Here is a 23,114-nt window from a genome sequence, read left to right as displayed (position 1 = left end):
AGGATACTATGCTAAGTGAAAGAAGTCAGACACGAAAGGACAAATATTGCATAATTCCACTTACATGAAGTACCTAGAATAGGCAAATTCATAGAGCCAGAAAGCTGAATCGTAATTGCCAGAGACTAAGGAGAGGGGAAAATGGGGAATTAATATTTAATGGCTACAGAGTTTCAGTTTGGGGATGAAAAAATTCTGGAGATAGATGGTAGTGATAGCCATGCAACATTGTGAATGCTTCTGAATTGTCCACTCAAAAATGCTTAAAATGGTAAATTTCATGTTATATATATTTTACCACAATTAAGAAAAAAAAAAAGTACAATAGACTATGTCATTTTCCTGCCTCAACATCACTAGTGGTACCCCCAGTGTAATTACATTAAAAATTAAACTCTTTACTTACTACAACAACTTAAATGGTTTCACTTAACTTGAACCTTGACTTCATGTCCACTTCATCTCTACTCTCCCTTTTGTTGTTCCATCCAAGTCTTTATAAACGTGCTGTTCCTTCCATTTGAAATATTCCAAATGGTATAAAATCTGTTTATTCTGCATGGCCGCCTTCTCTTCATTTGGGTGCTAACTCAAATGGAATAGTATCAGGAGGTTAACCTGAGACCTTAGCTACCCTAAGCAGAACAACCCCACCCCAGTTACTCTACCATATGGCATTTTTGTATTTTCATCTTAGCAGTAAAAAATAATTGAAATTCCTCTCTCTCTCTTTTTTTTTTTTTTATTTGAAACAGGATTTTGCTCTGTCACCCAGGCTGGAGTGCAGTGGTGCTATCACAGCTCACTGCAACCTCAAACTTCTGGGCTCAAGCAATCCTCCTTCTTCAGCTTCCTGAGGAGCTGGGACCACAAGTATGTAACACCATGACTAGTTTATTTTATTTTATTATATTTTTAGTAGAGACAAGTTCTCACTATGTTGCTCAGGCTGGCCTCAAACTCCTGAGCTCAAGCAATCCTCCACCTCATCCTCCAATATTGTTTGGCTGTGTCCCCACCCAAATCTCATCTTAAATTCCCACATGCTGTGGGAGGGACCCAATGGGAGGTAATTCAATCATGGATGCAGATCTTCCCTGTGCTAGTCTCATGATAGTGAGTAAGTCTCACAAGATCTGATGGTTTTAAAAATGGGTCTCACTGCACAAGCTCTCTCTTTGCCTGCCACCATCCACATAAGATGTGACTTGCTCCTCCTTGTTTTCCACCATGATTGTGAGGCTTCCCCAGCCATACGAAACTGTAGGTCCAATTAAAGCTCTTTATTTTGTAAATTGCTCAGTCTCAAGTATATCTTTATCAGCAGCATGAAAACAAAATAATGTGGTAAATTGGTACCAGTAGAGTGGGGCCTTGTTGAAAAAACACCCAAAAATGTGGAAGCAACTTTGGAACTGGGTAAGAGACAGAGGTTGGAACAGTTTGGAGGGCTCAGAAGAAGACAGAAAAGTGTGGGAAAGTTTGGAACTTCCTAGAGACTTGTTGAATGGCTTTGCCCAAAATGCTGACAGTGATATGAACAATAAGGTCCAGGCTGAGGTAGTCTTAGGTGGAGATGGGAACTGGAGCAAAGGTGACTCTTGTTATGTCTTAGCAAAGAGACTGGCAGCCTTTTGCCCCTGCCCTGGAGATTTGTGGAACTCTGAACTTGTGAGAGATGATTTAGAATATCTGGCAGAAGAAATTTCTAAGCAGCAAAGCATTCAAGATGTGACTTGGGTGCTATTAAAGGCATTCAGTTTTATAAGGGAAGCAGAGCATAAAAGATTGAAAAATTTGTAGCCTGACAATGTGATAGAAAAGAAAAACTCATTTTCTGAGGAGAAATTCAAGCTGGTTACAGAAATTTGCATAAGTAACAAGAAGCGGAATGTTAATCACCAAGACAATGGGGAAAATGTCTCCAGGGCTTGTCACAGGTCATCATGGCAGCCCCTCCCATAACAAGCCAGGAGGTCTAGGAGAAAAGGGTTTCTTGGGCCAGGACCAGGGTCTCTGTGCTATGTGCTGCCTGGGGAGTTGGTGCCCTGCATCCCAGCCACTCTAGCTGTGACTAAAAGGGGCCAAGGAACAGCTCAGCCTATTGTTTCAGAGGGTGGAAGTCTCAACCCTTGGCAGCTTCCATGTGGTGTTGAGCCTGCAGGTGCACAGAAGTCAAGAATTGAGGTTTGGGAACCTCCATCTAGATTTCAGAAGATGTAGGGAAATGCCTGGATGCCCAGGCAGAAGTTTGGTGGGGCTCTCATGAAGAACCTCTGCTAGGGCAGTGCAGAAGGGTAATGTGGGGTCTGAGCTCCCACACAGAGTCCCTACTGGGGCACCACCTAGTGGAGCTGTGAAAAGAGGGCCACCGTCCTCCAGGCCACAGAATGGAAGATGTACTGACAGCTTGCACTGTGTACCTGGAAAAGCCACAGACACTCAACACCAGCCTGTGAAAGCAGTTGGAAGGGAGGCTGTACCCTGCAAAGCCACAGGGGCAGAGTTGCCCAGGACCATGGGAACCTACCTCTTGCATCAGTGTGACCTAGATGTGAGATATAGAGTCAAAGGAGATCATTTCGGGGATTTAAGATTTGACTATCCTGCCCGATTTTGGCCTTGCATGGGGCCTGTAGCTCCTTTGTTTTAGCCAATGTCTCCCACTTGGAATGGCTGTATCTATCCAATGCCTGTACCTCCATTGTATCTAGGAAATAACTAACTTACTTTTGATTTTACAGACTCATAGGCAGAAATGACTTGCCTTGTTTTGGATGAGACTTTGGACTGTGACTTTTGATTAATGCTGAAATGAGTTAAGAATTTGGGGCACCATTGGGAAGGCATGATTGGTTTTGAAATGTGAGGACATGATATTTGGGAGGGGTCAGGGGCAGAATGATATGGTTTGGTTGTGTCCCCACCCAAATCTCATCTTGAATTCCCAGGTGTTGTGGGAGGGACTGTGGTGGGAGATAATTGAATCATGGGTACAGATCTTTACCGTGCTGTTACTGTGATAATGAATAAGTCTCATCAGATCTGATGGTTTTGGGTCACCCTGCACAAGCTCTCTCTTTGCCTGCCGCTATCCACATAAGATGTGACTTGCTCTTCCTTGCCTTTTGCCATGATTGTGAGGCCTCCCCAGCCACATAGAACTGTAAGTCCAATTGAACCTCCTTATTTTGTAAATTACCCAGTCTCAGATACATCTTTATCAGCCGCATGAAAACAGACAAATACAGCCTCCCAAACACCTGGAATTACAGGCGTGAGCTACCATGCCCAGTCTTTTCTCTTTATTTATTTATTTTTATTGTCTATCTTTCTCTCCTAGAATATAACTTCATGATGACAAAGGTCTATGTTGTTCACTACTGTTCTCATAAGAGATGCTTGCTAAATATTTGTTAACCTCTAATGACCTACAAAAATCTACTTACTGAAATATATAGGGCAAACTCTTTTGACTGCTCCCCATGCCCCTCCACTGACTCAGTAGAAATTTATTATCTCTAAGGCTAACTTTTTAATTTTGTTTTGTTTTGCAGGAGAATACTTTAAAGATTGTTGACTTCCAAAGGCCTATTTCCTTGGGCTCTGAATAACTTAAGGCTAAACTTAAGAACTTTATGCCTAATCACTGAAAGATTAATAATTCAAGCTAGATTTCTATGACCCTAATTCTCAATGCAACTACTGCCCTAAAATATTTGTTAAACTACTGATTATTAAATCTTATAGTAAAAGAAGTAAACCTAGATATCAAGAAAATATTGAGTAAAGGTAACTCTCTTAAATTGTCCAAATTATTTAATCAGAAGTTTTGCTTTCTTATTTTTCAGACCAGGACAGAATTCAATCTTTCATGTCTCTTGAGGTCACCAATGGTACTTCTCTCCTCTCACTACTTTTAAAATGACTACAAATATTAGAAAAACACAGGGTAATTTATATGAATAAATATGCAGATATTTGGCAAAACAATTAGATAAATTTATATGTCTAAGTTAAACTATCTCTTAAATTAATATGTTTTTTAGATATTATAATTATCCTGTCTAAAAATAATTAATGTGAATTATCCTAGGACCCTGGAAGCTAGCCTAAACGCCCAAAAAACCAAGGGGAAGGAAAAAAAAAGTAAATAACCCAATGTTGTATGTTTTTTAAACTCAAAGCAGCCAAAAAATACACAGCAACCTAGTTTTGGACTGAATTTCATAGATTATAAATTTTTCAGATGGCAATTAACCTTAGTAAAATATTTCTATCTACCTTAAATGTCTTAGTCACTTGTTCTGAATATAAAATAACTCACTACAGATATTAACTAACTGCTTCTTTGTTCAGTGCAGCATGAAAAATTTAACACACCAAATATTTTCTCCTCTATAAATTTGTGAATGGAATAGTTAAGATTGTGCGGTATTTTTGTTCATTTGAAAATTGATACTATACAAAGAGGTACTGGATATTTTTTTCTACAAGAAGCTAAAGAAAATGCTATGTTTATAGTTGACAGTGCCCAAATCTGATTCAGTTCAAATACTTGTCATACTTGTAAAGATTGGACACAGGCAGAATGCTTTCTGTCTTGTGACTTTTTCTAACCTGTAAGATTTACTGAAAAAACTTATAAAATAGCTTATATTTCCTGAAGCTTTGCTTTGTGATCATTTCATTATCTGGATGATATCATCAGAATTTTTCTTTCCTTTTAGATATAAAATCATGCTACACTTCTCTGACACAATGAAAAAAAAAATTTAGCAATATTGAACTTCACTTCTGGGTTTCCAAGATTAGCACATTGCAAAGAGTGAACCAAATCTACTTCGTCAATAAGATGCCAAGGTTCTTGTCATGGTGAGCATATTAAAAACGATGATTCTGAGGAAAACATGTCTGTAAACATTTGGCATAACCTTAAAATACATTACAAAAACAGTCCTGAAAAAGAAAACAGAAAAGAGGCAACCCATCAAAAGAGTAACAGATATTTTCTTTATAAAAGGAAGACTAGGAATTCAATTTATGCCATGGTGTAGTTACAAGAAATGAATTTACTCTACTGGCCTACACAACTAGAAAACCAGACAAATATTAATCAACTGTTCTCAAACCTTGGACAATGGACATATGGGACTATGATACCAGAGGGAAGGAAAATAAAATGAGCTTTGTAGATGTTCCAGATTACTGTATGGCCTGAGGGAAGATTCCAGGCTGTAGAGTAGGGAGAGGGAGCCCAAATAGAACTCAGAAGTCTCATTGTGTGAAAGAGAAAAAAGTAAGTGTTCATGGGGGAGAAAGTGACTAGAATTTGTGGGACAGAGTATTGAAAAGAAGAGAATTGCCCAGAGAACTCTGTAGATACATAGAAGAGTCTCCCAAAGTCCTTACCTTAGTATTTATCTGTGTATAAGTGAAAGGAAACTAGCTGAGGATAGGAAAAGAACTACTGGAAAGGAGAAGGCAGAATAATTTCCAGGGTTCACACAAGGCTAGAAATAATTTGCCTTTCCCTGACCAGGTAGAAATGCTTCCTATCATATGGGGCATCCGGTAAAGTTCTCAGAAAGAAATACCTTACGTTTGGAGCTCAATGAGATCTAGACTAAAAAAACAGTCTGAACCCACCTTAAAAGAACCTAAAAGCAAGTCTCAAAAAGAGCAATTTGAACCCAAATAACTTTACTGTGTACCAGGAAATAATCAAATACTACTGAAAAAAAAACACAATCCAACATTCTACAATGTAAAATTATACACAGTATCCTGCATCCAGTGGAAAAATTTTCACGCATGCAACAAAGCAGGATATTATGACCCACGGCAGGAGAAAAAAGTCAATAGATACAGATCCAGAAATGACAGAGATTGTAAAAATGCTAGACAAGTGTATTAACCAGGGTCTTCTAGAGGGACAGAACTAATAGAATAGATGTGTCTATAAAGGGGAGTATATTAAGGAGTATTGACTCACACGATCACAAAGTGAAGTTCTAAAATAGGCCATCTGCAAGCTGAGGAGCAAGTCTGAGCTCCAAAACCTCAAAAGGGGGAAGCCAACAGTGCCACCTTCAGTCTGTGATCGCAGTTCCAAGAGTCCAAAAGCTGAAGAACCTGGAATCTGATGTTTGATGACGGGAAGCATCTAGCATGGGAGAAAGAGGTAGGCCAGAAGAATAAGCCAGTATAGTCTTTCCATGTTCCCCTGCCTGCTTTTATCGTAGCCACGCTGGCAGCTGATTAGGTGGTGCTCACTCAGATTGAGGGTGGGTCTTCCTCTCCCAGTCCACTGACTCAAATGTTATACCCCCACTAAAATTCTCACATGTTCTTAAGGGAATAAGTATGATCATTGCAACATCACACATGGCATCAAAGAGTAGGAAGCAGTCTGGGTTTCCTCTAAGAGAGTGGTAGGTAAAGTATGGTGGACGCACTATGCAATCACAAAGTACAATAGATTCAAGTACGCAGGGAAAATAAGCAAATATTAAAAATACAGGCTGGGCACTGTGGCTTATGCTTGTAATCCCAGCACTCTGGGAGGCCGAGGTGGGAGGATCACAGGTCAGGAGATCAAGACCATCCTGGCGAACACGGTGAAACCCCATCCCTACTAAAAATACAAAAAATTAGCCAGGCATGGTGGTGGGCGCCTGCAGTCCCAGCTACTCAGGAGGCTGAGGCAGGAGAATTTCTTGAACCTGGGAGGCAGAGGTTGCAGTGAGCCGAGATCACACCACTGCACTCCAGCCTGGACGACAGACCAAGACTCTGTCTTAAAAAACAAACAAATAAACAAAAACCATAATGCTGAATTTTAAAAAAATAAGAAATAGAATGAGATCTACAAAACAATTTTCTGTTAGTTATATGCAATAAGATAATAATATATTTTACAAGGGACCATACAATAAAATGCATATGGAACATGTAAGAATATTTGAGGGGAAAGGGAATGGAATTGATCTAGGTGTTAAATATGAATAATTAGAAAAAAGAAACAATAAAGGGGTTTTGCAAGGGCAAGTTATAATAATGTGCCCTGAACTCAGGAGTATGATTAGTTCAATACTGTCTAGCTGATGTCAAAAGAAGAAAAACAGAGAGAAAAAAACTCAGTATTACAAGGTAAGATCACAAAGGTGAAAGGTGTAACAGCTATATGAACATCAAATGGAAAAAGTAGAGTGCTTTGTTTCATTTTTTCTAACATATCTTTCCAAATAGGCCCAGAGATCCAGCAGTGAAAAATGAATGAGGCTCTGTGAATAAAATATCGTGTTATAAAAATAAAGCTGCTTTACTTCTACTCTGACTTCTGGGCAGGGTCACAATGCAAAGATAAATATGATTCTGTCATTTGTCCAGAATAAGTCTATATAAAATTTCCCAATTTAGAACTGGAAGGAAATTCAGGGATCACTTAGCTCAAACATTTCAATTTTAAACAACATGGAAATAGTGGGCCACCATTCTTAAGTGACTTGCATAAAATATACACTAGGTGAGTCGAATAATTGGGCCTAGAATCCCATTTTCTGCCCTGTTCCATGAGGTCCCCTTCTCTTTGCCCCACTGAACTCATCACTGACTTGAAGAACACACCAGATGTGGAGGAGGCCACACTACAAACTATGGTGACAAAACACTCAAAGACCAAAATAAAATTATGCCTCAATCTGAAGCCTTTGGAATGAGTTTTCCCATATACTTGATTTGGGGTTGCTTTAATTAAAAACACGCTTTTGGTTTCAATACTTACTAATGAGATCATATCTTTCTTTAAAAAATTAGCACTCGTTTTTTTTGCCTCAATAAAAAATTCGAAAAAAAAATTAAATTACATTACTTTGAACAAAATATTTCATGATCCTCATTTGAAGCCTGAAGTTATTTATGGTCATAGGTAAAGAAAGTACAGAAGGTTCTGTCAGATCATTTCTTATCCCAAAGACATAACCTGGAAGTTGTGTCTTGTTACCTTTTTTCTAGAAAGTTTATATTTATTACTGTTAAAACATTCTTACAATTAATTATGTACATTAAGTAAATTAATCTCTCTTCCAGGTCAATCTTCAATGGTAGAATTTATATCGCTTTTTGTCCTTGTCCTCCAAGGTACTGTTTCCAGTTTGTACTGTACATCAATAATGCAATATTACGCAGTGCTTATTCTATTTATTATATCCCATGTAGATTTAATTTTTTTATACTTTTTATTTTTTCAACTTCGATTATAGATTCAGAGGGTACATATGTAGAACTGTAGCAAAGACAAATGACATATTGCAAGACACTGAAATTTGGAGTATGAATGAATCTGTCTCCAGGGTAGTAAGCATAATACCCAATAGGTAGTTTTTCAGCCCTTGCACCTTTCTGGCCCTTCTCCCTCTAGTAGTCCCCAGTATCTATTTTTCTCATATTGATGTCCATGTATAATCAATGTTTAGTTTCCACTTATAACTGTGGACATGTGGTAACTGGTTTCCTGTTTCTGTATTAATTCATGCTTAGAGTAATAGCGTCCAGCTGCATCCAATTTGCTGCAAATAACATAATTTTTTTTTCTTTATTATGGCTGTAGAGTATTCCATGGTGTATATGCACCACATTTTTGTTATCCAGTACAGAGTTGGGTTTATTCCATGTCTTGCTATTGTAAATGGTGCTGCAATGAACACACAAGTGCATGTCTTTTGGATAGAATGACTTATTTTCAATTGGGTATATACACAGCAATGAATTGCTGGATCAAATGGTAGTTAAACTCATTCCTTTGAGAAATCTCCAAACTGCTCTCTACAGTGTCTGGACTAATTTACATTCCCACTGGCAGTGTATAAGTGTTACCCTTTCTCTGCAACCTCACCAGCATCTGTTTTTAGACTTTTTAACAAAGGCAATTCTAACTGATGTGACATGATATCTCACTGTGGTTTGGATTTGCATTTCTCTGGTGATTAGTGAGGATGATCATTGTTTCATATGTTTGTTGGCTGCTTGTATGTCTTCTTTTGAGAAATGTTGGTAAACGTTCTTTGTCCACACTTTAATGGGGTTATTTGGCTTTTGCTTTTTGAATTGTTCATGTTCCTTACAAATTCTGGATATTAAGCCTTTGTCAGAGACATAGTTTGTGAATATCTCCTCCCATTCTGTAGGTTGTCTGTTTACTCTCCTGATAGCTTCTCTTGCTGTGCAGAAACTGAAGAGTTTTATTAGGATTCACTTGTCAATTTTTGTTTTTGTTGCAATTGTTTTTGAGGACCTACACAAATTCTTTACCAAGGTCAAGGTCAAGAAGGGTATTTCCAAGGTTTAATTCTAGGATTTTTATACATTGAGGTCTAACAGTTGAGTCTTACATGTCTTGAGTTAATTTTTATATATAGTGAAAGAGAGAGGTCTAGTTTTATTCTGCATGTGGCAAGCCAGCTATCCCAGCACCATTTAATGAATAGGAAACCTTTTCCCCATTGCTTACTTTTGTCAACTTTGTCAAAGATTGGATGGTTGTAAGGCTGTGGCTTTATTTCTGGATTCTCTATTCTGTTCCATTGGTCTGAATTTTTTACCAGTACCATGTTGTTTTAGTTATAGTAGTCTTATAGTATAGTTTGAAATCAGATAATGTGATGCTTCCAGTTTTGCTCCTTGTGCTTACGAATGCTTTGGCTGTTTAGGCTCTTTTTAGGTTCCATATGAGTTTCAGAATAGTTTTTTTCTAATTCTGCAAAAAAATTATATTGGTAATTTGATAGCAATAGTATTGGATCTGTAGATTGCCTTGGCCATTTTAATAGTACTGATTCTTTCTGTCAGCATGGAATGTTTTTTCTACTTGTTTGTGTCATCTCTGATTTCTTTGAGCAGTGTTTTGTAATTCTTGTTGTAGAGCTATTTCACCTCGTTGGTTAGCTATGTTCCCAGGTATTTTATCATTTTTGTGGCTATTGTAAAAGAAATTGTATTCTTGGTTTTGCTCTCAGTAAGACTGTTATTGGTGTATAGAAATGCTACTGATTTGTGTACATTAATTTTGCATCCTGAAACTTTACTAAAGTCATGATATGGTTTGTCTGTGTCCCGAAATAATCTCAACTTGAATTATGATCCCCATAATCCTCACGTGTCCTGGGAGGGACCCAGTGGGAGGTAAGTGAATCATGGGGTGGCTTCCCCCATGTTGTTCTCATCATAGTGAGTGAGTTTTCACTAGATCTGATGGTTTTATAAGCGTCAGCATTTCCCCTGCTGGCCCTCATTCTCTCTCCTGCTGTCCTGTGAAGAGGTGCCTTCCGCCATGATTGTAAGTCTCCTGAGGCCTCCCCAGCCACACAGAACTGTGAGAAAACTCAAGCTCTTTTCTTTATATATGACCCCATCTCAGGTATTCCCTCATAGCAGTGTGAGAGCAGACTAATACAAGTCGTTTATCACTTCTAGGAGCATTTTGTCAAAGTCTTAGGGTTTTCTAGGTATAGAATCATATTGTCATCAAAGAGAGATAGCTTAACTTATTTTCCTATGATGACATTTATTTCTTTCTCTTCTCTTATTGCTTTAGATAGGACTTCCAGTATTATGTTGAATAGAAATGGTTAAGAGTCAACAGTTTTGTCTTGTTCCATTTCTCAAGGGGAATGCTTCCAGCTTTTGCCCATTCAGTATAAGATTGGCTGTGGGTTATTTGAGGTATGATCTTTTGATGCCTATTTAGTAGGAGGTTTTTAACATTAAAGGATGTCAAATTTTATCCAAACCTTTTTCTGCTTCTATTGAGATAATCATATGGTTTTTGCTTTTAATTATATTTATGTGGTTAATATATTTATTGAATTGCATATGTTGAACCAATCTGTATCCCAGGAATAAAGCCTAATTGATACTGACAAATTACCTTTTTGATGGGCTGCTGGATTCAGGTTGCTACTATTGTGTTTAGAATTTTTGTATCTATTTTCATCAGGGATATTGGACTGAAGTTTTCTTTTTTCATTGTGTCTCTGTCAGATTTTATTATCAAAATGATACTGGTTTCATAGAATGAGTTAAGGAGTAGTACATCCTCCTCAATTTTTTAGAATAGATTCTGTAGGAATGGTACCAGCTCTTCTATGCACATCTGGTAAAATTTAGCTGTGAACCCATCTGGTCCAGGGCTCTTTTCAGTTGGTAGGTCTTTTATTACTGAATAAATTCAGAACTCATTATTGGTCTGTTCAGGATTTAAATTTCTGCCTGGTTCAATCTTGGGAGGTTGTGTGTTTCCAGGAATTTCCATTTCTTCTAAATTTTCTAGTTTGTTTACATAGAAGGGTTGATAATAGTCTCTAAGGATTTTCTATATTCCTTTAAGGGCTGTCACCTTTGTCATTTCTGATTCTGCTTATTTGGATCTTCTCTCTTTTCTCTGTGTTCATCTAGTTACCATTCTATCAATCTTGTTTATGCTTTCAGAAAACAAACTTTAGGTTTTGTTTATTTTTTAAAAATATTTACTACTCAATTTCATTAATTTCTACTCTAATTTTGGTTATTTCTTTTCTTCTGCTAGCTTTAGGGTTGGTTTGCTCTCATTATTATAGTTCCTCTAGATGCAATGTTAGGTCATTCCTTTGACATCTTTTAAACTTCTTCATCTAGGCATTTAGTATTGCAGGATCTGGTCAGCAGCCTGCAATGCAACGGGGCTCTCTCTTTGTTCCCAGGTGGATCAGCAGGTTGAGAAATCATAGACACACACAAGATAGTGAAAGCTGGGTCCAGGGGAGTCACTGCCTTCTGGGCCCATGGTGCCAACAATGCACTAGATATACCAGCATTTATTATTAAGTTCAGTGAGGGCGGGGGTAGGTTAGTGAGGGATTTAGGATCATTTGATTATGAGGTGAGATGGTCACATGGGGATGAAGTAATTCTTTAACGTAACATTTGTACGTAGAAGTACAGTACATTTGTATGTAGAAGTACAGTATACAGAGATAAGAATTTACAATATAGTGTGTGCATCAGTAATTTCTAACAGAGCCTTAAAACAGAAACATAATCTTTCCATAACCTATGATTAGCAAGATATTAATCAGCAGTAACAATTGCAACAAAAGCTGGTTACAAACAATCCAGGGAAACAGGACGTGAAGCTAGACAACCAGTTAGACCAGAAATTCTCGGAAGGGACTATGCCTTAACCCTAAAGAGGCCTAGAAGAGCTGTGGCAAGATGAGGGCGTTTATAGCCCTTTCTTATCCACAGGGACAGGCGCCCGTTTATAGGCTCTCCACATGGGTCGCATTCCATTCCCAGAGCTATGAATATCTGCTTTTCTGGGATAGGAATCTTGGTGATGTGAAACCTCCCTGACTGCACGTCCATTCATAGGCTCTCTGCAGGGGGAAGCACATCATGCGCTGCTGGCTCGTTCTGGCAGTCCAACCTGGCATTGTCTTTACACAATCCTGCATGCAATTTTGTATTTACAATAACCAAGAGCATTTCATCTTTTATTCCATAGCAATAGTTTCAGGGGGTCTCCCTACAATTTAGTGTTATAAATTTTCCTCTTAACACTGCTTTAGCTATATCCCAAAGATTCTGGTATGTTGTGTCTCTGTTTTCATCAGTTAAGTTTTTGGATTTTTTCTTTAATTTTGTTATTTATTCAAAAGTCATTTAGCAGCAAGCTGATCAATTTCCACGTAATTGCGTTGTTTTTAGAGATCTTCTTGGTATTGATTTCCATTTTTATTGCACTGGGGGTTAAGAGTGTGGTTGGTATGATTTTTTTTTAATTTATTGAGACTTGGCTTATGATCAAGCATGCGGTCATTCTTAGAGCATGTTCCACGTGTAGATGAGAAGAATGCACATTCTGTGGTTGTTGGGTGGCATATTCTGCAGATGTCTGTTAGGTCTGATTGGTCAAGTGTTGAGTTTAAGTCCAGAATGTCTTTATTAGTTTACTGCCTCAATGATCTGTCTAATGCTGTCAGTAGGGTGTTGAAGTCTCCCACTATTATTGGCTGTCTAAATCTCTTTGTAGGTCTATAAAAACTTGTTTTATGAATCTGGGTATTCCAATTTTGAGTGTGTATATATGTAGGTTAATTAAATCATCTTGTTGATTTGAACTCCTATTACGTAATATCTTTCTTTGTCCTTTTTAATCATTGTTGCTTTAAAGTCTGTTTTATCTGATATAAGAATAGTAACCCCTGTTCTTTTTTGTTTCCCATTTGCATGATAGATCTTTCTCCATCCTTTTCCTTTGAGCCTGTGCATGTAGTTCTATTTGAGATGGGTCTCTCGAAGAGAGTAGAAGGTTGGGTCTTGTTTCTTTATTCAACTTGCCACTCTATGCTTTTTAAGTGAGATTTCTGGCCCATTTTCAGTCAAGGTTCATTTTGATATGTGATGATTTGGTCCTGTCATTGTGTTGTTAGCTGGTTTTTATGTAAACTTGACTGTGTAGTTGCTTTATAGTGACTGTGCACTATGTACCTACGTGTGTTTTTGTGGTGTCAGGTATCATTCTTTCATTTCTGTGCTTAGCACTCCCTTAAGGACCTCTTGTAAGGCAGATCTAGTGGTAACAAATTCCATCAGGGTTGGCTTCTCTGAAAAGGATTATATTTCTCCTTCACTGATAAAATTTACTTTGGTGGGATCTGAAATTCTTGATTGGAATCTTTTTTCTCTTAGGATTCTCAAAATAGGTCCCCAATTTTGTCTGCCCTGTAAGGTTTCTGCTGAAAGGTCCAGTGTTAGCCTGATGGCATTGCCTTTGTAAATGACCTGTCCCTTCTCTCTAGCTGCCATTAAGATCTTTTATTTCATGTTGACCTTTGAGAATTTTATGACTATGTGTCTTGGAGATGGTCATCTTGTACAGTCTCACTGGAATTCTCTGATTTCTCAAATTATTTTATTGAATTTGCATGTCTAACTCTCTAGCGAGATTAAGAAAATTTTCATAGACTGTATTCTCTAATTTGTTTCCCAAGTTGCTTACTCTCTCTCCTCTCAGGAATGCCAGTTACTCCTAAGTTTTGACTCTTTACATAATCACATATTTTCACAGAGTTTTTGTTCATTTTTAATTTTTTTTTCTCTGCCTAAGTTGATTTGAGTGAGTGGTCTTTGAGCTCTGAGTTCTTTCTTCAACTTGGTCTATTCTGTTGTTAATGCTTCCAACTGTATTATGAAATTCCAGTAGTGAATTTTTAATTCCAGAAGTTACCTTTTAAAATGGCTACATCATCTTTCAACTCTTGAATTGTTTCACTGTTTTCCTTGGGCTGGGTTTCAACTTTCTCCCGTATCTTGTTGAGCTTCATTCTCATTCACATTCTGAATTTGATGTCTGTCATTTCAGCTATTTCAATCTGGTTAAGAACCAGTACTGGGGTGCTAGTGTGGTCACTTGGAAGTAAGAAGACACCCGGGGTTTTAGACTTGTCAGGGTTCTTGCACTGGTTCTTTCTCATCTGTGAGTGCTGGTGTTCCTTTACCTTTTGACGTTGCTATGAGTTGGATGGAGCTTTTTATTTTTATGTTCTTTATTTCTCTTGAGGGTTTGACAATGGTATAAGTTGAGTACAGTTGATTGGCTTTATTTCTGGATGCTTTCAGAGGGCCAAAGCTTTGTATGGGATTTTTATTCATGGCTAGTGTCCTGCACTTGTTTTCACCAACAATAAGTGCTGGAAGAATTCTTTAGTGGTATAATTCAGGCTGTGATCCAGTAGACGGTGCTTAAGAGTAAGGGAGGGGAGACAGATTCTTGTTTAGTCATGTGCCCCTTTTGTATTTCAGTGTGTTCACAGCAGTGCTCCTCTAACATCTGTTCCATCTCTTTCCCATTTTGTAACAACCATACATTTTGCATGGGATTAACCTCATTCCTCTTCCAAGGTAAACAGATCAGCTTGCTGCTTCTTTTGCCATTGTTATTGGCCCAGGTTGGGGAGCAACACTTCAACAGCCTCATTCAGTTCAAGGTGTTCCTCTGACCACAGTTGTTAGCTCTTATTGGTCAAATCAAATGAAGACCAAGAACTTGAACTTGCCAGTTAAAGATTCCTTTTTACAGTCAAGGCTAACCTACAAACCTTGTTTGGTGTACAGGTGTGTGGGCTACAGCCACAGGTGTCACTGGGCTTCATAAAGCAACCACATTGAGGAAAAGGAAGATTATTATACTTATGAGAAAGCAGAGCTGGGAGAATCTCAGAGAACAAGACCTGGCACTCTGACACAACTATGTTAGATAGCACTCCACTTTTAGGTTTTCTATTTTAGAAGCCAATACACTACTTTTATTTTAAAACCTATTTAACTTTATTTTGGGTTATGTGCAACCAGAAAATCCTGAAATTAGATAAACAGTAGTTTTACTATTCAGAGGTGTGTGTGTGTGTGTGTGTGTGTGTGTGTGTGTGTGCTATGTGTTTCAGTTAAAACATTTTAAAACCAAGTTGGGAATCAATAATACATACACTTTTGTAGGCTGTTATTTTGATAGTTATGAATATATGTGCATGTTACAAAATTTCAATCACATCATTTTAATAGCTTCATATAATTGCATTATATGTTTACATCATAATTTATTAAATCTAGCCTTTATATTTGGACACTTACGTTGGTTCTGATTTCCTACTGTCTAAACAGCAATATACTAAAAAACTTTGTAACTATATTTTCTGCCATATTTACGCTTATCTCTTTGGAATAAATACCAAAATATGTGACAATTATAGGGTTAAATACCATATATAAGTCTAACAATTTTAATTTGCATTATAAATTTGCCCAAAAAAGGCAATTCTACCCCCCCAAAAATGTATAGCAGTCCTCATTTCAATATTTCCTTTGTTATACAGTTATTTTTGGTAGTAAAATATTGACAACAAACTCCTTCGAAGTCATAATTGTAAATTATAATTATACACATTTAATATTGTTGATGTTAATAATGTAATAGATAAATTAAAACTCTACCACAAGTTTCTGAGAATTAGGTATTATGAACTTATTTTAAATCAAAAGAAACATTTCAAGTACAAATAAGATTTCGGATATAACATAGCTAATAAATTATAGAACAATTCAATTTTACTATTGCTGAATCCAATAATCTCTAGAGCGCAATAGAAGTCAAAATATGCCCTGTGAAATTCCAACCCAGATAAAAATATAGTGACCTTAAGTTTTATCAGAGTTCACTCATGATATATTCATATTGACACAGCACCCATCAAGATTAGCATGTGTGCAAGATTTTTCAATTTTAGTGAATTTTCGTTAATAATAATTACATTAAATTAAGCCAGGATGATTAAACAGACTTTCATTGTGTACTTGCAGTATCTGCCATCTAGTGCATGAATCACATGTGTAGCGAACATAATTCTCATTTTTAACACATGGTTAAATCTGAAAAGAGACCACAGATAACTAACACATCTTGCATTCCCTAGACTATTTGTTTACAGAACTTAACCCATCCTGTAGTAGTCCATTTTCATGCTGCTGATAAAAATATACCCAAGACTGGGAAGAAAAAGAGGTTTAATGGATTTACAGTTCCACATGGCTGGAAAGAACTCACAATCATGGCAGAAGGCAAGGAGGAGCAAGTCACGTTTTACATGGATGGCAGCAGGAAAAGAGTAGAGAAAAGAACTTGTGCAGGGAAACTCCCATTTTTAAAACCATCAGAATTGTGAGACTCATTCACTGCCACAAGAAGAGCACTGGAAATACCCATCCCCATGATTCAACTGCTTCCCACCAGGTTCCTCTCACGACACGTGGGAATTCAAGATGAGATTTGAGTGGGGACACAGACAAACCACATTATTCTGCCCCTGGCCCCTCCCAAATTTAATGTTCTCACATTTGAAATCCAATCATGCCTTCCCAATAGTCCCCCAAAGTCTTAACTCATTTCAGCATTAACTCAAAAGTCCACAGTCAAATGTCTCATCTGAGACATGGCAAGTCGTTCTGCCTATGAGCCTGTAAACTCAAAAGCAAGCTAGTTACTTTCTAAATACAAGGGGCATACAGGCATTGGGTAAATACAGCCATTACAGGTGAGAGAAACTGGCCAAATCAAAGGAGCTACAGGCCCCATTCAAGTCCAAAATCCAGTGGGGCAGTCAAACCTTAAAGTTCCAGAATGATCTCCTTTGATTCCATGTCTCATATCCAGGTCGTCCTGATGCAAAAGGTGGGTTTCCACAGCCTTGGGCATCTCCGCCTCTGTGGCTTTCCACAGTATAGCCCCACTCCTGGCTGCTTTCACAGGCTGGCATTGAGTGTCTGTGGCTCTTCCAGGCACACGGTGCAAGCTGTTGGTGCATCTTCCATTCTGAGGTCCAGAGGACAGTGGCCCTCCTCTCACAACTCCACTAGGTCGTGCTCCAGTAGGGACTCAGGGTAGGGACTCTGGCCCCACGTTTCCCTTCCATACTGCCCTAGCATGGGTTCTCCATGAGGGCCCTGCACCTTCAGTAGACTCCTGCCTTGGCATCCAGGTATTTCCATAGATCCTCTGAAATGTAGGTGGAAGTTCCGAAACCTCAATTCTTGACTTCTGTGCACCTGCAGGCTCAACACCATGTGGAAGCTGCCAAGGCTTAGGGCTTCCACCTTCTGAAACAACATCCTGAACTGTACCTTGGCCCCTTATAGTCATGGCTGGAACAGCTAGGACGCAGGACACCAAGTCCCTAGGCTGCACACGGCACAGGGACCCTGGGCCCGGCTCCAGACCTGTGTTGGGAGGGGCTGCCATGGAGACCTTTGACATGCCCTGGAGACATTTTCCCCATTGTCTTGGGGATTAACATTTAGCTCCTTGTTACCTATGCAAATTTCTGCAGCAAATTTCTCCCCAGAAAATGGGATTTTCTTTTCTATTGCATTGGCAGGCTGCAAATTTTATGAACTTTTATGCTTTTCTTCACTTATAAAAATAAATGCATTTAACAGCACCCAAGTCACTTCTTGAATGCTTTGCTGCTTAGAAATTTCTTCTGCCAATATCGTAAATCTTCTCTCTCAAGTTCAAAGTTCCACAAATCTCTAGGGCAGGGACAAAAGGCCACCAGTCTCTTTGCTAACACATAAACAGAGTCACATTTGCTCCAGTTCCCAACAAGTTCCTCATTTCCACCTGAGACCACTTCAGCCTGGACTTTATTGTCCATATCACTATCAGTATTTTGGTCAAAACCACTCAAGAAGTCTCTAGGGAGTTCCAAACTTTCCCACATTTTCCTGTGTTCTTCTGAGTCCTCCAAACTGTTCCAACCTCTGTATGTTACCCAGTTCCAAAGTCGCTTCCATATTTTTGGGTATCTTTTCAGCACTGCCCCACTCTATTCGTACCCATTTACTGTATTAGTCCATTTTCATGGTGCTGATGAAGACATAGCTGAGACTGGGCAGTTTACAAAAGAAAGATGTTTAATAAACTTACAGTTCCATGTGGCTGGGGAGGCATCTCAATCATGGCAGAAGGCAAGGAGGAGCAAGTCACGTCTTACATGAATGGCAGCAGGCAAAGAGAAGAGAGCTTGTACAGGGAAACTCCCATTTTTAAAAACATCAGATCTTGTGAGACTCACTCACTCTCACAAGAACAGCACAGGAAAGACTCACCACTATGAGTCAACTACCTCCCATGACATGTGGGAATTCAAGATGAGATTTGGGTGGGGACACAGCCAAACCATATCATTCCTTTTGAGGAAAGCACACTGAGTATTTGCTGATAATATGAAGTAAGCTCAGATACAAGTGGTGAGGGTCAGCTTACTCTTTCTGATCTCAGATTTTAGTGGAACAGTATTTGATTTCTCTCTTAGGAATTTGGTACTCCAGATAGCGGTTCTGTGGCTCTTGCTGTAGACTGTTAGATGCAATAGGCTTGCAGGACACATATCAATGGGTTCAATGGGAAATATGGGAAATTATTGGTTAGATGCACATGAACCATGGGCAGGAAAAAGAGGCTGTAGAGAGCTGTCTGAACACTCTTGCTACAATTATTCTGCCATGTATTAAATGCCATATATCAGACTTTTTAAGTGTTTGACAATGCTTTTTGAGTTTGTAATAAGTCCTTTTAGCAATGAGCTAAAAAATAACGAAAATGCTTTATAAATAAAAAATTAAAGACTAAATTTTCTTATTTCAGAAAAGGTGATGATAAATGCTTAGCCTGGACAAATATTTATCAACATTTACTTTCCATCATAGGAAGAATGTGATATCATTAATCCCATCTAAACAGAAAGACACAAATATACAGAAGAAATGTCTGCATCTACCTCAAAAGTTAATACTAATTTTTAAGAAAAATATTCCCTAAGGTGACAACTTAAAACTTGCAGCCGCAAAAGGTGCTACACATCACCTTATGATGGATGGCTTTTCATTTGGATCTAATAATTATTTGTTTAAATTCATTCTGCCAATTTTCAATTCCAAGATTTCTTATGCACAAGGACTCAACCAATTGCTGTTAATGGACTTTGTGAACAGAAAATGATCCTTGTAAACAGTTCAAAGATACAGATTTTATTTCAATATCTTAGGTGCTTCAAAAAGAAATTCACTAATTCCAATCATGGTTTGATTTTTTAATCTAATTTATAAAACCAACATAAAACTTTTCAAAATTCATCCCAATGAAGGTGAAAAATCTGACATTGTTTTCAGAAATATCAATACAAAGTGTAGCAGTAAAGATGAAACTATTTTTGTAATATAAACTAATTTTGATGAAGTATGGTCATGACAAAAACATTTTTGCCAATTTCAGTGTGATAGATTATGCTTTTGTAAAGAACAATAATTTTAATAATATCTCCCATTCCACATGCTCTGCTTACAATGTGACCTTGGCACTCACTCTGTAAAGTGGTTGGAGTCTATACTCCCTGCCTTAAATGCGGGCAACCATTTGCTAATGTTCTAATGGCCTGTGACAGGTAGATTATCAAAATGCCTTGGATTTCTGTCTCCTTCCCTTGGGACACCTGCTCCTGTTCTCTTCCATGCTCTGAGGGACCCAAACAAGCCCATTCAAGGAGACCATTTAGTGACTTGACATGTAAATGCTCCAGGCAAAGTTCAGCCAAGGTCCTAATCAACAATTAGCTTCATTCACCAGGTAAATGAATGACAATTTCTCCAGATGATCCAGCCTCCAGCTGCTAAGTTACTTCAAACTTCTAATTCTTCCTACCTGATGTCCTAGACATTGTGTGGCAAAGATGGGTCATCCTGTTGTACTCTGTCTAAATTCCTGACAGACAATCTGGAGCATAACAAAGTTGTTATATGCCATAATGTGTTGGGAGGTAATTCGTTAGGTAGTTATAGCTAACCAGCACATTGTTTAAAATGTTGAAGCAGAAATGTGTTTGAAATCTATTGTGATGTGCATGTAATTCAAAACAGTTTATGAGACAGCTGTGATATTCTACAATTTGAAATCGAAGCTATAGTTGTCAGAAATTATACAACTACATTATATATAAGTGCTTAGAATACATAAAATACAAAATGTTATGAAGGAGCTGAGATTTAATACAAAAACTGTTTAGTATGGTGGCATGGACTTTTGACTGCTCAGCACCAATTATTGAGACTCACTCTTTAAAAATGTACTTTTGAAATCAATGTAAATATCCTATATACGGTAAACATTTTATTAAAAAGTTATCCACATTTAGGTTACCTTTTGTCCAAAATCAGTTGTACATCTTTAATCTAATTATTTTAACAATACTTAACAATTATGTTAATATTTAACAAGCGGAATACATACTCAAGACATTTGGAATCTTTGAGCAATTTGTAAATATTGAAAATGAAGCTTTCTTGCAAACAGGAATATATTGAAATTTTTCTTAAAATGAGGGGGGAAATCTTAAGAATGATAAAATGATAAGAATGACAAGATTTCAAACAGGATAAAATTTAATTTTTTTAATTCTGTAAACTGGAATATCTTAAATTCTGAGGAAAATAATGGTATAGAGATTATATTTTTATTGAAAGCATTTATATTTTGAATCAGCATGGTATTAATATTGAGAATTCTATAATTTATTTGAAAAACTTTGACTTTAAAAATAATTTCCAAAGCAAGATACTTGGAATGGAGTAAAGAAAGACAATGTCTATAAAAATATTTATGTAGACACATCTCCATGTTTCAAAATGCAAGAATAGTAAGAATATTCTTTATATAGCAGAATTTGATCTTATCTTACTAGGTATACCAGCATCTGTAGAGAAAGTGTTTGCTCAATTAAAAATACTGATGGACATCAACTAAAGATATCCATATCAAATATGTTAATAACATAATACAACTTTCAAATGATTGCAGTCAATTTGATGTAAAAAAGTAAGATCCTGGCCGGTAGTGTAAGTTCATGCCTGTAATCCCAGCAATTTGAAAGGCTGAGGCAAGTGAATTGCTTGAGCCCTCAAGTTTAAGACCAGCTTTGGCAGCATGGCAAAACCCCATCTGTACAAAAAATACAAAAAAATTAGGTGGGCATAGTGGTATGCACTCATAGTCCCAGCTACCCGGGAGGCTGAGATGGGAGGGTCACCTGAGCCTGGAAGGTTGGGGCTACAGTGAACCATGATCATGCCACTGCACTCCAGCCTGGGTGACAGTGTGAGCCCATGTCCAAAAAAAAAAAAACTGTTCTTTAGAAAAATACTAATGTTAAATTATTAGAAAGCAACAAGACTAAAAAACTGATTCAAGCACAGGAATACAGACCAAGAATAATTATTTCATTTGGTTTTTTAATGTTCATCTCATTCATAAAATTTTTACTTTTTATAAAGATTTTGTTTTATAAAATAATTTTAAATAAGACTTTTTATGTCTACCAATATACTAAAACAAATTTTTTAGTCAACAAATATTCAAATATGTAAAATTATATTACTTGTAGCGGGTCTTTTTATTTTCAAAAGCATTCTACTTGAACAGTAAATTATGTGGCCACCTGAATATAAAGGAGCTATTTTCAATAATTATTCAAAACTAAGCAGTTCTGCCTTCACTTCAGGTCAGTAGAGATAATTCTCATAAGGTGCTAAGCCTTAGGAATCAAATCCATTTGGGGTCATTACACACAATTGGGAAAATAAATACCTCTATGGCAGCTCCCCAGACCTACAGATTGCAGGTCTGATCAGAAGGCTGACAGAGAAATTTATTTTTTAAGTAGCAACACTACAAAGGACAAGGGAACGTGTTCAAGTGCTCAGTGGCAGATATTGGCTATAGTTAACTTGGTAGATAGTGGCTGCTCCTTCACCACTCTCCTATTCTTATCCTAGTGATTTACCCATCTGCTTTTTACCCATGGGCTTCCAAACAGCACGGTAAGTGTTCTAGAAACTCAATTAAGCTAGTGGAATCAGATGGCAGGAGGTAGATACTCTCTGAAATAGGCCAAACATTTTCCACATTGGTCAGCTCTACAAAACTGAGAAAGAACTTTTGTTTTTCCTTCTACATACAGTACCAAATTAATGGAGCCTTGTAATTTAAATTGTGTTCATTAGAATCTTCTCATTTAAAACTTCACAAAGTCAGGTTGCCTGTGGGGCAGAGAAACTGTAATGAGCCGGCGTCTGCCAAAGTTAGGGCAATGATTTCAAGGTCATAGACTGGCAGAATGCTGAAGGAGAGATGACTGGCAAATATCAAAGATGCAGAAGAAGAAAGTGTATTCAAGCATTTGTTGAAATTGTGCCACTGCTAGAATTTATTTAAGTAGGTTTGAGAGAGTAAAATTAGCAGGGTTGTGAAGACATGCTTTGTGAATAATTCTCATTGCAAAGTAAATCACAATGATTTTGCAGCTAATCTAAAATGGAGAATAGAGAGCAAGAAATGGGGGAGGGAAGGGTGGAGAAAAAGAAAAGAAGAAATACTGTTTTTTCCTTATTACTTTCTCAATTAGAGTTGCTAAGAAAATTCCCATATCTCACTGAATATTTATTGAGGAAGGCCTTTTGTATTTAACTCACAG

This window comes from Homo sapiens, chromosome 11 (assembly GCF_000001405.40).
Source record: "Homo sapiens chromosome 11, GRCh38.p14 Primary Assembly".
Classification (NCBI taxonomy): Eukaryota; Metazoa; Chordata; class Mammalia; order Primates; family Hominidae; genus Homo; species Homo sapiens.
The sequence above is the reverse complement of the archived record's forward strand: the minus strand, read 5'-3'. Positions refer to the sequence as shown.